At 39.0% G+C, this 16,109-nt stretch overlaps 1 long non-coding RNA gene across 3 annotated transcripts in view; it reads left to right on the forward strand.

Moving 5' to 3' along the window:
* The window catches only part of LINC02699 (long intergenic non-protein coding RNA 2699), a 470,852-nt gene that overhangs the window by 301,842 nt on the left and 152,901 nt on the right, over window positions 1-16,109 (forward strand). The window contains exon 2 of one of the 3 annotated variants that reach the window (NR_183692.1): window positions 15,030-15,127. The exons of the other annotated variants lie outside the window; for them this stretch is intronic. This is a non-coding gene — a long non-coding RNA (long intergenic non-protein coding RNA 2699). The remainder of the gene's footprint in view (window positions 1-15,029; window positions 15,128-16,109) is intronic. 3 annotated transcript variants of the gene reach the window in all.

The raw sequence follows: 16,109 nt of genomic DNA on the forward strand, positions 1-16,109 counted from the left end.
ACTCTGATGTATTCTGAAAGTAACCTAGCATTTCTGAAGAGAGGAATCAATCAGGGAGAAAGCCTTGATGTCAGTGAAAGTAATAGAGAGCAGGAACTATCATAAAATCTTGGCACAAACTATTCAATGCTGCCTAGAAACTTAGCCTTTGAAGGGAACAGGCACAAAGAAGTGACAAATGGCCACACTTACAAATATCAATCTAGTCTTGAATGGGAAGATGCGAAAAGGCAAGGCAGTCAGGGGCTCACATGCCAGGCCGTTTATATTCTTATTCTCCTCAGAATACATTAGATTGGAACACAATGGCTGGACATACTCTTTTCCAAAGTTTTAGTATTATGAATCTTGTGTTGGAATGGGAAAGAGTTTATATTGAGTCTGGAAGAAGGCATATGTCACTGTGTTTGGCAAGGGTAAGCTACCCTAACTGACTTTCACATGTATCAATTACAGATGGGTGTGGCCATATTTAAAAACTATTGGTAAACTGGGTATCCTAATGAGAGGCGACAATGTGCTGGTGGCCATTGCTCACTCTCAGCACCTCCTCAGCCTTGGCATCTACTCTGGCCACGCTTGAGGAGCCCTTCAGCCCACCGCTGCACTGTGGGAGCCCCTCTCTGGGCTAGCCAAGGCTGCAGCCAGCTCCCTCTGCTTGTGGGGAGGCGTGGAGGGACAGGCATGGGCAGGAACCGGGGCTGTGCGCGGTGCTTGCAGGCCAGTGTGAGTTCTGGGTGGGCGTGGGCTAGGCAGGCCCTGCACTCAGAGCAGCCAGCTGGCACTGCTGGCTGTGGGTAGTGAGGGCTTAGCACCCAGGCCAGCAGCTGCGGAGGGGCCACCGGGTCCCCCAGCACTGCCAGACTGCCCACACCGTGCTCGAATTCTCGCCGGGCTTCAGCCGCCTCCCTGTGGGGCAGGGCTTGGGACCTGCAGCCCACCATGCCCGAGCCCCCACTGCAGTGGCCTCCCGCACTCCCCCTGCTCTGCAGCACCTGGTCCTGTCGACCACCCAAGGGCTGAGGAGTGCAGGTGCGTGGCGTGGGACTGGCAGGCAGCTCTGCCCGCGGCCCTGGTGCGGGATCCACTAGGCAAAGCCAGCTGAGCTCCTGAGTTGGGTGGGGACTTGGAGAACCTTTATGTCTAGCTGGAGGATTGTATATGCGCCAATCAGCACTCTATATCTAGCTAATCTGGTCAGGACTTGGAGAACCTTTATGTCTAGCTAAAGGATTGTAAATACACCAATCAGCACTCTGTGTCTAGCTCAAGGTTTGTAAACACACCAATCATTGCTCTCTGTCTAGCTAATCTAGTGGGGATTTGGAGAATTTTATGTCTAGCTAGAGGACTGTAAATACACCAATCAGCATTCTGTGTCTAGCTCAAGGTTTGTAAATGCACCTATCAGCACCCTGTCAAAATGGACCAATCAGCTCTCTGTAAAATGGACCAATCAGCTCTCTGGAAAAATGGGCCAATCAACAGGATGTGGGTGGGGTCAGAAAAGGGAATAAAAGCAGACTGCCTGAGCCAGCAGCAGCAACAGGCTCAGGTCCCCTTCCTCACTGTGGAAGCTTTGTTCTTTTGCTCTTTGCAATAAATCTTGCTGCTGCTCACTCTTTGTGTACGCACTGCCTTTATGAGCTGTAACACTCACCGTGAAGGTCTGCAGTTTCACTACTGAGGCCAGCGAGACCACGAACCCACCAGAAGGCAGAAACTCTGAACACATCCAAACATCAGAAGGAACAAACGCCGGACACACCATCTTTGAGAACTGTGACACTCACCGCAAGGGTCCACAGCTTCATTCTTGAAGTCAGTGAGATCAAGAACCCACCAATTTCTTACACACTAAGAGGCTATAGCTTCTTTTAGCCAATGAGTTCATGAGTAAGTTGAGGATGGGGTACCTAGATTGCCTTTAGCCAGGATACCTAACTAATAATTTTGAGTAAATTCTTCAAAGAATAACTGAACAACTACTTTACTTTATATTGTGCTTACCACTGCTCTCCAAAGATACAAAGATGAAATTTGAGAAAGCATGTAGAATAGACCTGATATAGGATAGCATAGGTGTTAACTCAGTGAGAGCTGTTGCCTTGAAATATCTATGAAAAGTCACTAATTTTAGGTATCGAAGCCAATCAATCTCTTCAGATAGACACCTATCTTCTATTACAGAGAGGCTTTTCTGTACCATGTAGATCAATATCAAACATAAAAAGAATTCTAGTTTTACACTAGAGGCTGTTATTAATAATAATTTAGACATGATATTTTTAACAGTATAGACATTTTCTATTTTATATTACGTATATATTCATTTGGTACCTCTTTGCCCACTCTGGGCAGACCCTGAATTTAATTTTTTCTTCATGGTGTCAAATTTTGAACATAAAAAGGGATTTAAAAAAAGAAATATGTGGTGACTCCAGGGTTATTTCACATGTTCATTCCATTAGAAAAAATTAAATAGTTCCTGTAAAAGCTCTTCTATTACCATGAAAAATCTAGAGCTAAATATGCATATCAAAGCTGCTAAAAAATATATCAAAGTAAAAAATACAGTAATAAATAATTACTATAAAAGTTATTTTTTTCTCAGAAGATGGGTGATTTCTGCATTTCCAACTGAGGTACCTGGCTCACCTCTTTGGGACTGGTTAGAGAGTGGGTTCAGCCCATGGAGGGTGAGCAGAAGCAGGGTGGGGCATTGCCTCACCCGGGAAGTGCAAGGGGTCGCAGAACTCCCTCCCCTAGCCAAGGGAAGCCTTGAGGGACTATGCCATGAGGAACTGTGCACTCTGGCCCAGATCCTACACTTTTCCCATGATCTTCACAACCCTCAGACCAGGAGATTCCCTCGGGTGCCTATGCCACTGGGGCCCTGGGTTTCGAGCACAAAACTGGGTGGCCATTTCGGCAGACACCAAACTAGCTGCAGGAGCTTTTTTCATACCCCAGTGGTGCCTGGAATGCTGGTGAGTCAGAACCATTCACTCCCCTGGAAAGAGGGCCTGAAGCCAGGGAGCCAAGTGGTCTGGCTCAGCAGTTACCACCCCCATGGAGCCCAGCAAGCTAAGATACACTGGCTTGAAATTCTTGCTGCCAGCACAGCAGTCTGAAGTCAACCTGGGTTGCTCAAGCTTGGTGAGGGAAAGGGTGTCCGCCATTACTGAGGCTTGAGTAGGTAGTTTTCCCTTCACAGTGTAAACAAAGCCTCAGTGAAGTTCTAACTGGGCAGAGCCCACCACAGCTCTGCAAAGCCATTGTAGCCAGACTGCCTCTCTAGATTCCTCCTCTCTGGGCAGGGGGTCTCTGAAAGAAAGGGAGCCGCCCCAGTTAGGAGCTTATAGATGATAAAACTCTTATCTCCCTGGGACAGAGCACCTGGGGGAAGGGTCGGCTGTGGACACGGCTTCAGCAGACTGAAACATTCTTGCCTGCCGGCTCTGAAGAGAGCAGCACATTTCCCAGCACAGTGTTTGAGCTCTACTAAGGGACAGACTGCCTGCTCATGTGGGTCTCTGACCCCCATGGCTCTGGAATGGGAGATACCTCCCAGCAGTGGTTGACAGACTTCTCATACATGAGAGCTCCAGCTGGCATCTCATGGGTGTTCCTCTGGGTTGAAGCTTCCAGAGGAAGGAACAGGCAGCAATCTTTGCTGTTCTGAAGCCTCCACTGGTGATATCCAGGCAAATAGGGTCTGGAGTGGACCTCCAGCAAACTCCAGCAGACTTGCAGCAGAGGGTCGTGACTGTTAGCAGGGAAACTAACAAACAGAAAGGAATAGCATCAACATCAACCAAAAGGACATCCATACAGAAACCCCATCCGAAGGTCACCAACATCAAAGACCAAAAGTAGATGGATCCACGAAGACGAGGAAAAAACAGGGCAAACAGGCTGAAAATTCTAAAAACCAGAATGCCTCTTCTCCTCCAAAGGATCACAACTCCTCGCCAGCAAGGGAACAATGATTTTGAAGAATTGGCAAAAGTAGGCTTCAGAAGGTGGGTAATAACAAACTCCTTTGAGCTAAAAAAAAAAAAAAAAAAAAAAAAAAAGCATGTTCTAACCCAATGCAAAGAAGCTAAGAACCTTGAAAAAAGATTAGAGGAATTGCTAACTAGAATAAACAGTTTAGAGAAGAACATAAATGACCTGATGGGGCTAAAAACACAGCACAGGAACTTCGTGAAGCATACACAAGTATCAATAGCCGAATCAATCAAGCAAAAGAAAGGATATCAGGGATTGAAGATCACCTTAATGAAATAGAGCATGAAGACAAGATTAGAGAAAAAAGAATGAAAAGGAACCAACAAAGCCTCGAAGAATTATGGGACTTTGTGAAAAGAGCAAACCTACGTTTGATTGGTGTACCTGAAATTGATGGGGAGAATAGAACCCAGTTGGAAAACACTCTTCAGGATATTATCCAGGAGAACTTTCTCAACACAGCAAGACAGGCCAACATTCAAATTAAGGAAATACAGAGCACACCACAAAGATACTCCTTGAGAAGAGCAACCCCAAGACTCATAATCATCAGAAGTTGAAATGAAGGAAAAAATATTAAGGGCAGCCAGAGAAAAAGGTCGCGTTACCCACAAAGGGAAGCCCATCAGGCTAACTGGATCTTTCTGCAGAAACCCTACAAGCCAGAAAAGAGTGGGGGCCAATATTCAACATTCTTAAATAAATTTTCTACCCAGAATTTCATATCCAGCCAAACTAAATTTCATAACTGAAGGAGAAATAAATTCCTTTACAGAGAAACAAATGCTGAGAGATTTTGTCACCACTAGGCCTGCCTTACAAGAGTTCCTGAAGGAAGCACTAAATATGGAAAGGAAAAACTTGTACCAGCCACTGCAACAACATACCAACTTGTAAAGACCATCGACACTATGAAGAAACTGCATCAACTAACAGGCAAAATAAACAGCTAGCATCATAATCACAGGATCAAATTCACAGATAACATTATCCTTAAATATAAATGGGCTAAATGCTCCAATTAAAAGACACAGACTGGCAGATTGTATAAAGAGTCAAGACCCATCAGTATGCTGTATTCAGGAGACCTATCTCATGTGGAAAGACACACATAGGCTCAACATAAAGGGATGGAGGAAGATTTACCAAGCAAATGGAAAAAAATAAAAAAACAGAGGTTGCAATCCTATTCTCTGATAAAACAGACTTTAAACCAAGAAAAGATCAGAAAAGACAAACGATGACATTACATAGTGGTAAAGAGATCAATGCAACAAGAGGAGCTAACTATCTTAAATATATATGCACCCAATAAAAGAGCACCCAGATTCATAAAGCAAGTTCTTAGAGACCTACAAAGATACTTAGACTCACACCCAATAATAGTGGGAGACTTTAAAACCCCACTGTCAATATTAGACACATCAATGAGACAGAAAAATGGATATTCAGGACTTGAACTCAGCTCTGGACCAAGTGGACCTAATAGACATCTGCAGAACTGTCCACCACAAGTCAACAGAATATACATTCTTCTCAGCACCACATCACACTTATTCTAAAATTAACGACCTAATTGGAAGTAAAACACTCCTCAGCAAATGAAAAAGAACACAAATCATAACAAACAGTCTCTCAGACCACAGTGCAATCAAATTAGAATTTAGGATTAAGAAACTCACTCAAAACTGCACAACTACATGGAACCTGAACAACGTGCTCCTGAATGATTACTGGGTAAATCATGAAATTAAGGCAGAAAAAAATAAGTTATTTGAAACCAATGAGAACAAAGACACAAGATACCAGAATCTCTGGGACACAACTAAAGCAGTATTTAGAGGGAAATTTATAGCACTAAATCCCCACAGGAGAAAGCAGGAAAGATCTAAAATCAACACACTAGCATCAAAATTAAAAGAACTAGAGAAGCAATAGCAAACAAATTCAAAAGCTAGCAGAAGACAAGAAATAACTAAGATCAGAGCAGAATTGAAGGAGATAGAGACACAAAAAAACTTTCAAAAAATCAATGAATCCAGGAGCTGGTTTTTTGAAAAGATTAACAAAATAGATAGACTGCTAGCCAGACTAATAAAGAAGAAAAGAGAGAAGAATCAAATTGACACAATTAAAAAAATGATAAAAGGGATATCACCAATAAACCCACAGAAATACAAACTACCATCAGAGAATACTACAAATACCTCTTTGCAAATAAACTAGAAAACCTAGAAGAAATGGATAAATTACTGGACTCATATACCCTCCCAAGACTAAACCAGGAAGAAGTTGAATCCCTGAATAGACCAATAACAAGTTCTGAAATTGAGGCAGTAATTCATGGCCTACCAATAAAAAAAAAAAAAAGCCCAGGACCAGACAGATTCACAGCCAAATTCTACCAGAGGTACAAAGAGGAGCTGGTACCATTCCTTCTGAAACTATTCCAAACAATAGAAAAAGAGAGACTCCTCTTTTACTCATTTTATGAGGCCAGCATCATCCTGATACAAAAACCTGCCAGAGACACAACAAAAATAGAAAATTTCAGGTCAATATCCCTTATGAACATCCATGCAAAAATCCTCAATAAAATACTGGCAAACCGAATCCAGCAGCACATAAAAAGCTTATCCACCACGATCAAGTAGGCTTCATCACTGGGATGCAAGGCTGGTTCAACATGTGCAAATCAATAAACATAATTCATCACATAAACAGAACCAATGACAAAAATCACATGATTTTCTCAATAAATGCAGAAAAGGCCTTTGATAAAATTCAATATCCTTTCATTCTAAAAACTCTCAATAAACTAGTTATTGATGGAACATATCTCAAAATAATACAAGCTATTTATGACAAACCCACAGCCAATATCATACTGAATGTGCAAAACCTGGAAGCATTCCTGTTGAAAACAGGCACAAGACAAGGATGCCCTCTCTCAACACTTCTATTCAACATTGTATTGGAAGTTCCAGCCAAGTCAATCAGGCAAGAGAAAGAAATAAAGTGTATTCAAATAGGAAGAGAAGAAGTCAAATTGTCTCTGTTTGCAGATGAAGTGATTGTATATATAGAAAACCCCATTGTCTCAGCCCAACATGTCCTTAAGCTGATAAGCAACTTCAGTAAAGTCTCAGGATACAGAATCAATGAGCAAAAGTCACAAGCTTTCCTATAAACCAATAATAGACAGAGAGCCAAATTATGAGTGAAATCTGATTCACAATTGATACAAAGAAAATAAAATACCTAGGAATACAACTTACAGGGAATGTGAAGGACCTCTTCAAAGAGAACTACAAACCACTGCTCAAGGAAATAAAAGAGGATACAAACAAATGGAAAAACATTCCATGCTCATGGATAGGAAGAATCAATATTGTGAAAATGGCCATTCTGCCAAAAGTAATTTATAGATTCAATGCTATACCCATCAAGCTACCAATGCCTTTCTTCACAGAATTAGAAAAAACTACATTAATTTCATATGGAACCAAAAAAGAGCCCATATAGCCAAGACAATTCTAAGCAAAAATAACAAAGCTGGAAGCATCATGCTACCTGACTTCAAATTATACAGCAAGGCTACAGTAACCAAAACAGCATGGCAATTGTACCAAAACAGATGTATAGACCATTGGAAAACAATAGAGACCTCAGAATAATGCCACAAATCTACAACCATCTGATCTTTGACAAACCTGACAAAAACAAGCAATGAGGAAAGTATTCCCTATTTAATAAATGGTGTTGGGAAAACTGGCTAGCCATATGCAGAAAACTGAAACTGGACCCCTTCCTTACACCTTATACAAAAATTAACTCGAGATGGATTAAAGACTTAAATGTAAGACCTAAAACCATAAAAACCCTAGAAGAAAACCTAGCCAATATCATTCAAGACATAGGCATGGGAAAAGACTTCATGACTAAAACACCAAAAGCAATGGCAACAAAAGCCAAACTTGACAAATAGGGCCTAATTAAACTAAAGAGCTTCTGCACAGCAAAAGAAACTATCATGAGAGTGAACAGGCAACCTACAGATGGGAGAACTTTTTCGCAATCTACCCATCTGACAAAGGGCTAATATCCAGAATCCACAAGGAACTTAAACAAATTTACCAGAAAAAAACCAACAACCCCATCCAAAAGTAGGTGAAGGATATGAACAGACACTTCCCAAAAGAAGACATTTATGTGGCTAACAAACATAGGAAACAAAAACTCATCATCACTCTTCATTAGAGAAATTCACACCAAAACCATAATGAGATACAATCTCACACCAGTTAGAATGCAATCATTAAGAAGCCAGGAAACAACAGATGCTGGAGAGGATGTGGAGAAATAAGAATGCTTTTACACTGTTGGTGGGAGAGTAAATTAGTTCAACCATTGTGGAAGACAGTGTGGCAATTCCTCAAGGATTTAGAACCAGAAATACCATTTGACCCAATAATCCCATTACTAGGTATGTACACAAAGGATTATAAATCATTCTACTACAAAGACACATGCACACATATGTTTACTGCGGCACTCTTCACAATAGCAAAGACTTGGAACCAACCCAAATGCCCATCAATGAAAGACTGGATAAAGAAAACATGGCACATATACACCACGGAATACTATGCAGTCATAAAAAAGAATAACTTCATGTCCTTTGCAGAGCCACATATGAAGCTGGAAACCATCATTCTCAGCAAACTAACACAGGAACAGAAAACCAAACACTGCATGTTTTCACTCATAAGTGGGAGTTGAACAATGAGAACACATGGACACAAGGAGGGTAACATCACACAGCGGGGCCTGTCAGGGGGTGAGGGAATAGGGGAGGGATAGCATTAGGAGAAATACCTAATGTAGGTGATGGGTTGATGGGTGCAGCAAACCACCATGGAATGTGTATACCTATGTAACAAACCTGCACGTTCCGCATATGTATACCAAAACTTAAAGTATAATGATAATAAAAAAAGAAAACTTCAATTGCCTAGTATGTAACTGAATCCAGTAACTAATGAATAAATAAATAAAAATGATGTGTCCATGCAATGAAATATTATTCAGTTAAAAGAAGAAATTAAGTCCTGAACATGTTACAACATTATAAAAAATTATGGTAAGTTAAAAAAGCCAGACATGAAAGACAATATATTATAATGTTATTTGTATAAAACATCCAGAATAGGCAAACCCATAGAAAAAGAAAGTAGATCAGGGGTTGCCAGGAGATGGGGATAAGGGAGAAATGACAAGGCAAGGAGTTTCTTTTGGAATGGTGGAAATGTCCTATAATTAGACAGTGGTGATGATTATACAGCATTGCAAATATTCTATAAGCCAATTAATTGTACACTTTCTAATAGTTAAAATAATGAAGTTTATATTATGCAAATTTTATGTTAATAAAAATTTGTTTTTAAAAATTAAAGGATGTGACATCAAATATCCGGTGCCTAGGTCACAAATATCCTCTTCTATGACCATGGTTGATATCACTAACATCTACCAACAGTCTATCCTTCTAAGTCTGCGAGTGCTTCAGAGGGTTTTCAACACAATTCTCCAAGTAGCTCAAAAAATCAATTCAAGAATGTGTATTGCTACTTAGTTATTATCCTTGGTGTTGTTTATCTCTAGAATTTCTTTCAACCATACAATATCCTTACAGCATGAAGTCATATTGGGATTTCAAGGCCCATATAACTATGCAGTAAATATTTAACTACAATCACTATTATATCAACCAAGACAATACAAGGTAGTGGAGGAACTCCTCAATTATAGAATTTCCAGTGTACCATAAAATGTTCAGGGCTATGCTAGAAATTAGTAGGCCAAAGACCTGAGAACCTGGAACAGGGAGTTGGGGAGGGTAGGTACAAGTCCAGAGGCTGGAGGGCCTGGAATTCTAATGTCCAAGGACAATAGAAGAAGGCTGACCTAGTTTTTTGGTTTTTAATTGTTTGTTTTGTGTGTGTGTGGGGAGAGGGGGGGAAGAGAGTGAGTGAGAGAGAGAGACAGATTAGTCTTTCCTCAGTCTTTTTATTGGATCTAGGTCCCCAGACAATTGGATAGTGCAGACCCACACTAAGGGTGGATCTTCCCCATTCATTCCAGCAACTCACATGCCCATCTCCTCTGGAAACACCTTCACAGCCACACCTAGAAATAATGCTTTACCAGATGTCTAGGTAGCCCTTAATCCAGTCAAGTGGACGCCCAAAATTAACTGTCACTCTAGCACATTTTTCCGCCATCTACACACATTTTTCTGTTACCTGTGTTTTTCATCTATTATGTTATTTGCTTGTATACTCAGTGTGTTTAAGAGACAACGCATGAAATAACCACAGAACAATATAAACTGAAAATTATTGTAAAGACAAAGTACTTCAAAAAGACTTCTTGAGATTTCACAAAGGAAGGACATTAGCATTTAGAAAATGTTCTGTGATCATCATAGCTGAATCATGGTGCTTTGTATTATTGCATCCTTCATTTACCTTCTAATTGAATTATTAAGCCAAAGTCAGAGTCACCCAGTGCTGCTATGGAATCCAAGTGTTCTCATTTGCCCATTTTTGTATGGAAAACCATTGAATTGCATGACATTTAGGTGAATTCAGATAAAGCCTTTATTGTTAAAGACAACAATGGGTGCAAATATTTAAGTGCATAAACAAGGTGGGATCTGATGCATAAAAGCTAAGAAGACAGTGTTACCGTTCAAAAATATTTTCATGATCACTTAGGGACATTATACAGCTCTGGAAAGAACACTTGGCTAAGAAGAATAAAGGCTATTCTTCCTCTCACAGTTTTTCTCCTGTGTGTTAGAAGCTAAGATCATTTTTAATCTATCAAAATAGCACTCACAATATTTGTGTGAAATCTGTATTTCTCAGAAGAAAATATTTTAATTTCTTTCATGTTGAGCACATACAACGTATGCACCAGTGTTTCTGGCTACTGGGGCTACTACTATAAATGCTATTAAGATATTAACTAACTTCAAGGAATTTAACAGGTGTGTGTGTTTGTGATGGGATGTGGTAGTGCAGTATGCTCATAACTAACCACAGGGCAAAGCATAAAGTTTCATGTTATTTTATCTCCAGGTTGATTGTGCCAGCTACTTAGTCCAAGGAAAACTTTTTTCCTCTTAAATAGTATGCAGAGTTTGCCACAACTTATGCTAATATATCTAAATAAAATCCCCTTTTTTGTTAATGCAAAATAGCCAACTCGAAATAGACTTTTTTTTTGTGGTAGAGACGAAAGTGAGTAGTCTGCACTAGTGAATGTAGCTTGGTAGTAGGCGATGGTTGCTGATTTTCCTCCTGAAGGTTCATAGCCTTGTTACCATCACTAATGCAAACAAACCTGTGACTCATTAAATGCCAGTGTTTGCCTCTTAAAACTTTATCATGTCTCATCTTCCTTAAGCTCTTTATAACTCATATTTTAAACTTATTACATTTTGCCCATTACAACATTGTTCATTAATCTGAGTTGCTTCTTCAGTTTTTTCCACTAAAAATTTTGTTTGCATTGGTTTAGATTATAAACAGTACAGAAATGCAGCTGGTCTGACAAATGATGAATTCTTCAGGCACTGAAATAAGATTTCATACACTTAGCTAGATAGGGTGAGTTAATTTTTCTTTTTTATTTTTATACAATGAGACTGAGAGAAAGGAATCAACCCTTCTCCTCAAATCTTTTTCAGTAACCCTGGGACTTCTGTAATATTGGATCATACTGATAAACCTAATTTCTGACAAATTCTTCCTCATCCAATTCATGGTGAGCAAAAATAAATATTGAAGCAGAAATATTTATTTATAGTAACTTTCAAATGACTTCCTGTGCTGGTCTCTAAAATCATTGGCTAAGGGAAAGCTGTAGGATGATGTTATGTTATAGAGGTGATAAATTGACTTTACTATCCTTAAGCTGGGGCTTCTATTTTTCTTTCCTGTCCTTTCTACCAAGCTAAATTTTAATGACTTTCAGGACCACTCAATTTCTAGCTTTACAGGGAGCTACTTCTGATTATTTTACTTCTCATCCAAAGTAATGCGATTTAAAGCTTGCTTTGACTCTTGAGGCAGATAGATCTGGACTGAAACCTTGGCTTTATCTGTCTCCAACTATGTAAACTTGGCAAGTTGATTAACATCTATGTTATCAGTTTCCTCACATGAACAATGAGAATTGTTTCAACATATTTCTCATAAAGCTGTTAAGAGACTTACATGTAAAGGACATAGGACTGTGTATAGTACATTTTAAATACTCTCCAGTTACTATATTCATCATCATCATTATACCACAATGCTTAATTCTACCTATATCACATCCACCACACTCTGGACTTTCTGCTATTAATTAATTATTCATACATTTGTGCTACATGTCTTAAGCTACTTTTTAGCATCCTTTAAGTCAGGAAATAAATTATTATATGTGTTTGTTACAGGGAGGGTATAAGTGATTGGACAATAAATTGGATCAGGAATCTGGTCACTATGAAAAGAAGTCTCAGTGAAACTACAAGTTATTCTATAATGAGAGAGAGAGGAAGGGAAGGGAAGGGGAAAACATGAAGGAAGGAAGGAAAAGAGGGAGGATGGAGGGAGAGAGGAAGAAAGCACAGGCACATATACTTACATATATACAACGAAAAGAAGTGGTGACCACACACTTTGCATTTATTTTCCTTGGCAAAACAGATTGTTTCATGACTACTGAGCTGGAGATGTCAGAATATGTGAGCACATTGTGCCATCTGAATAAATAAATAAATAAATAAAATCTAGTGTACAGGTTGCAGAAGTAGACAGGAAAAGCAAACTTGAAATTCACATTGTGTCAAGGTTACTATTGCAGGCATCAGGGTAGTTAGAACTTTTTCTTTGTCTCAGACCAAGATAGTCAGAACATTAACATTTCCATTATCTCAGCCCTAGTCACAATAATTAATAATTTGTGACTGTAGAAAGGGATTTTACTGTGTTTATACATCTAATGAATTTATGCTATCTAATAGGTCATATGTATAAATATAATGGTGTGATAAGATTACCGGTTTGTTAATTAAGTCATTACCAATGAAATCCTGAGTGTAGAGTGGTGTGTGTGTGTGTGTGTGTGTGTGTGTGTGTTGGAGAGTCAGTACTGAAACCAACACTGAACTTTACCATGATATCAATACATAAAAAATTCATATTTTGTGTTCTCATTTTCTTTCTCTTAAAATAAGCAGTCTCTAGGAGAAAAAACTCTAAAGGCGGCTCAGATTACATTGCTCATATATTTTCCTTTCAATTTTGTGCCTGTATTGAAAGAACTCATTTCTTCAGTGGGATGACAGTCTGTTTTTTCAGCCCAGAAGGCACTGCAATTTTTCAGGGGAAAAATTACATCTTGATCTTAGAGACCACTGCTGGGGATTTTTCTTCGTATCTCTCACATCTTTTTCTGAAGGACTTTTTAAGATGTCATAATTATTATCTGATTAGGCAGTACTTGCTCTTTAGCCCAAAGGAAAGCTATTCACTATTCCATCATGCAACTGAGAGCCTTTACTGTGAACTTCTCACTGTTTTAGGAGCTGAGATACATCAAGGAACAAAGAAGATAAAGATCCCAGTATTAATTGAGCTTATATTCTAGCAGGAGGGGGTGGAGACACACAGAAAACAATAAACATGATAAATAAACTATAGTGTATAGTAGAGTTAATACATGTTATGGAAAAAGAAAAGTAGAACAAGTTGAAGGGGAGGAATGAGTTGTAACTTTAAAGGGATAGTCAGAGAAGGGCCTCTTTTGGAAGCTTAAAGTGGAGCTCAGCACACCAGGATGTATACATGTGTAACTAACCTGCACAATGTGCACATGTACCCTAAAACTTAAAGTATAATAAAAAATAAAAATAAAAAATAAAGTGGAGCTCAGACATGAAGAACAGCAGAGGGTGAGTCATGTGGGTATCTGAGCAAGAACATTCCTTGCCAAGGGTTGGGGGTGGGGAATCGGAGTAAAGGCATACAAACAAAGCATATCTAGTATATTTATAAAACAGCAAAGAAAATGCTGTTTCTGGAACAGATTTTAAACGAGGGGAGTTAATAGAAAATGCAGACAGAAGGGTGAGCGTGGTTCTATGTAACTTTTGTAGGCATTTTAATCACTTTGACAATGTATCTATGCCAGGTCCATGTTGATTACATTTCTCAATTTTAATGGTAAACTCTATCCCAAGCTAAGAATGAGTTTGAGTATAAATGGGTAATCAACTGGATGGCTAAATAGAGAGGGGGAAATTTTTAGAAGAAAAAAACAGTTTTATTTTTTTCTTCTGCATTGTTGATTCACCTTTTTTCCTCTCTTGTGGACTGCTTCAGGGAGATTTTTTTTTTTTTTTTAGTGGATTAGGTTGATTCAGATTATATCACAAGAGAATGAAAGCATGCTGTTTTCTGCTAATGTTTGCTTAGAGGAAAAGAGGTCTTAGAAAAGTTACCAAAGAGGATTTCTGTTGTTTCTAAATGATTTCCATCACAACTAACTAAACAGCCTCATATGCATTTGAGACAAATGAAGGGAGAAAGCATAATTTTGCCATCATAGTATATCCTATCACAACCTTCAGAATAAAGGTAGATAAAGGATACTGGATTTTTACCTTAGCAGATATTCCTAGCTCCATGCCAACCTTAATAGGAAACTGCTGCATAGATTAATTTTATACCAATCTAACCTCTATAAGAGGTAATCATATTGCTTCTGTCTTAGGTTTGTGTTATAAGGATTGAGATAATGTCTGTTGCAAGACTAACATGAGCTATTCAAGATGCCTAGCAAGTAATAGCTGCTCACCAATGACAAGAGAGGCTATTATTTTGTTGCTACTTTCCCTTAGAAGGCATATCCAGATTCTACCTTCCAAACCTTTTTACTCTGTCTTTTCTGTTTCACAGCTCCCCATTCTGAACACCAGCATCATGCATCCTTTGCTCTGTTCTAGGCACAACAATCAAAAGTGCTTATTCCCAAACTGGACCTGACTTCAGCCAGAGTAAGAACAATACTGATCCTCACCTACCCACTCCCACCATAGTCCCACTAATGAAGCCCTTATTTTACTTCAGAGATAGTTATTTGAACAACTATTAAATCAATTTGGTACATTTAGACAACCATGCTAGAGGATGCAACTTAAACACTAGAGTGTCTTCCTTAGTGTCCATGTTTGTATCTTAATACATCGGTATTCTTCTAATTTACTTGAACAGAATATAAAAATTGCAGCAAATATGTATTTATTCATTTTTATTCAGCAATCACTTCATGATCATTTAGCGGGAGCTAGATATTATCCTAGGTGTGGACATATATGAATGTACAAGTTAGACAAAGTCCCTGCTTTGTGAAGTTTCTTTCAGGGACTGAAATAAAGGTAATAACTAAGTAAACTAAAAATCATCGTTGATAGGTGCCATGAAAAAATTATGTTAGTAACTTCACAGATGCTGACTGGAGGTGGGAGATGATGGAATGGGCTCCTTAGATGGAGTGCTAAGGAGATCTCCTCATGCGTGCCCATTTCTTTGATTTGAAGAACTTAGCAGATCCAACCACAAAAAAAACAAAAACAAAAACAAAAAAACAAAAAAAAACTGAGGTAAGAGTTTTTCAGAAAAAGGGAAGAGTAAGTAGAAGGCTTAAGATGGAAGACTCTTGTATACCTGAGAAAGAAATAGAATGTCAGTGTGGATGTCTTGGCAAGGAGCTACTTCAGAAAAGAGATAAAGGAAGAGAGGAAGGCGGAGCTTAGATCATGGAGCACACAGTGATATAATGTTTCACATGAGACACTTTATACAAATATCAAAAGGAAATTAAAATAGAAAAGATCCAGTAATCACACTCCTTGTTACCCCCCAGGAGTTGAAAACATGTTTACACAAAGATCTGAACAAGGATGTTTATATTGCAGCAGCTTCATTCATAATTGCAGAAACTTGAATACAACCAAGATATCTCTCAGTAGGTGAATA

Source organism: Homo sapiens, chromosome 11 (genome assembly GCF_000001405.40).
Source record: "Homo sapiens chromosome 11, GRCh38.p14 Primary Assembly".
Classification (NCBI taxonomy): domain Eukaryota; kingdom Metazoa; phylum Chordata; class Mammalia; order Primates; family Hominidae; genus Homo; species Homo sapiens.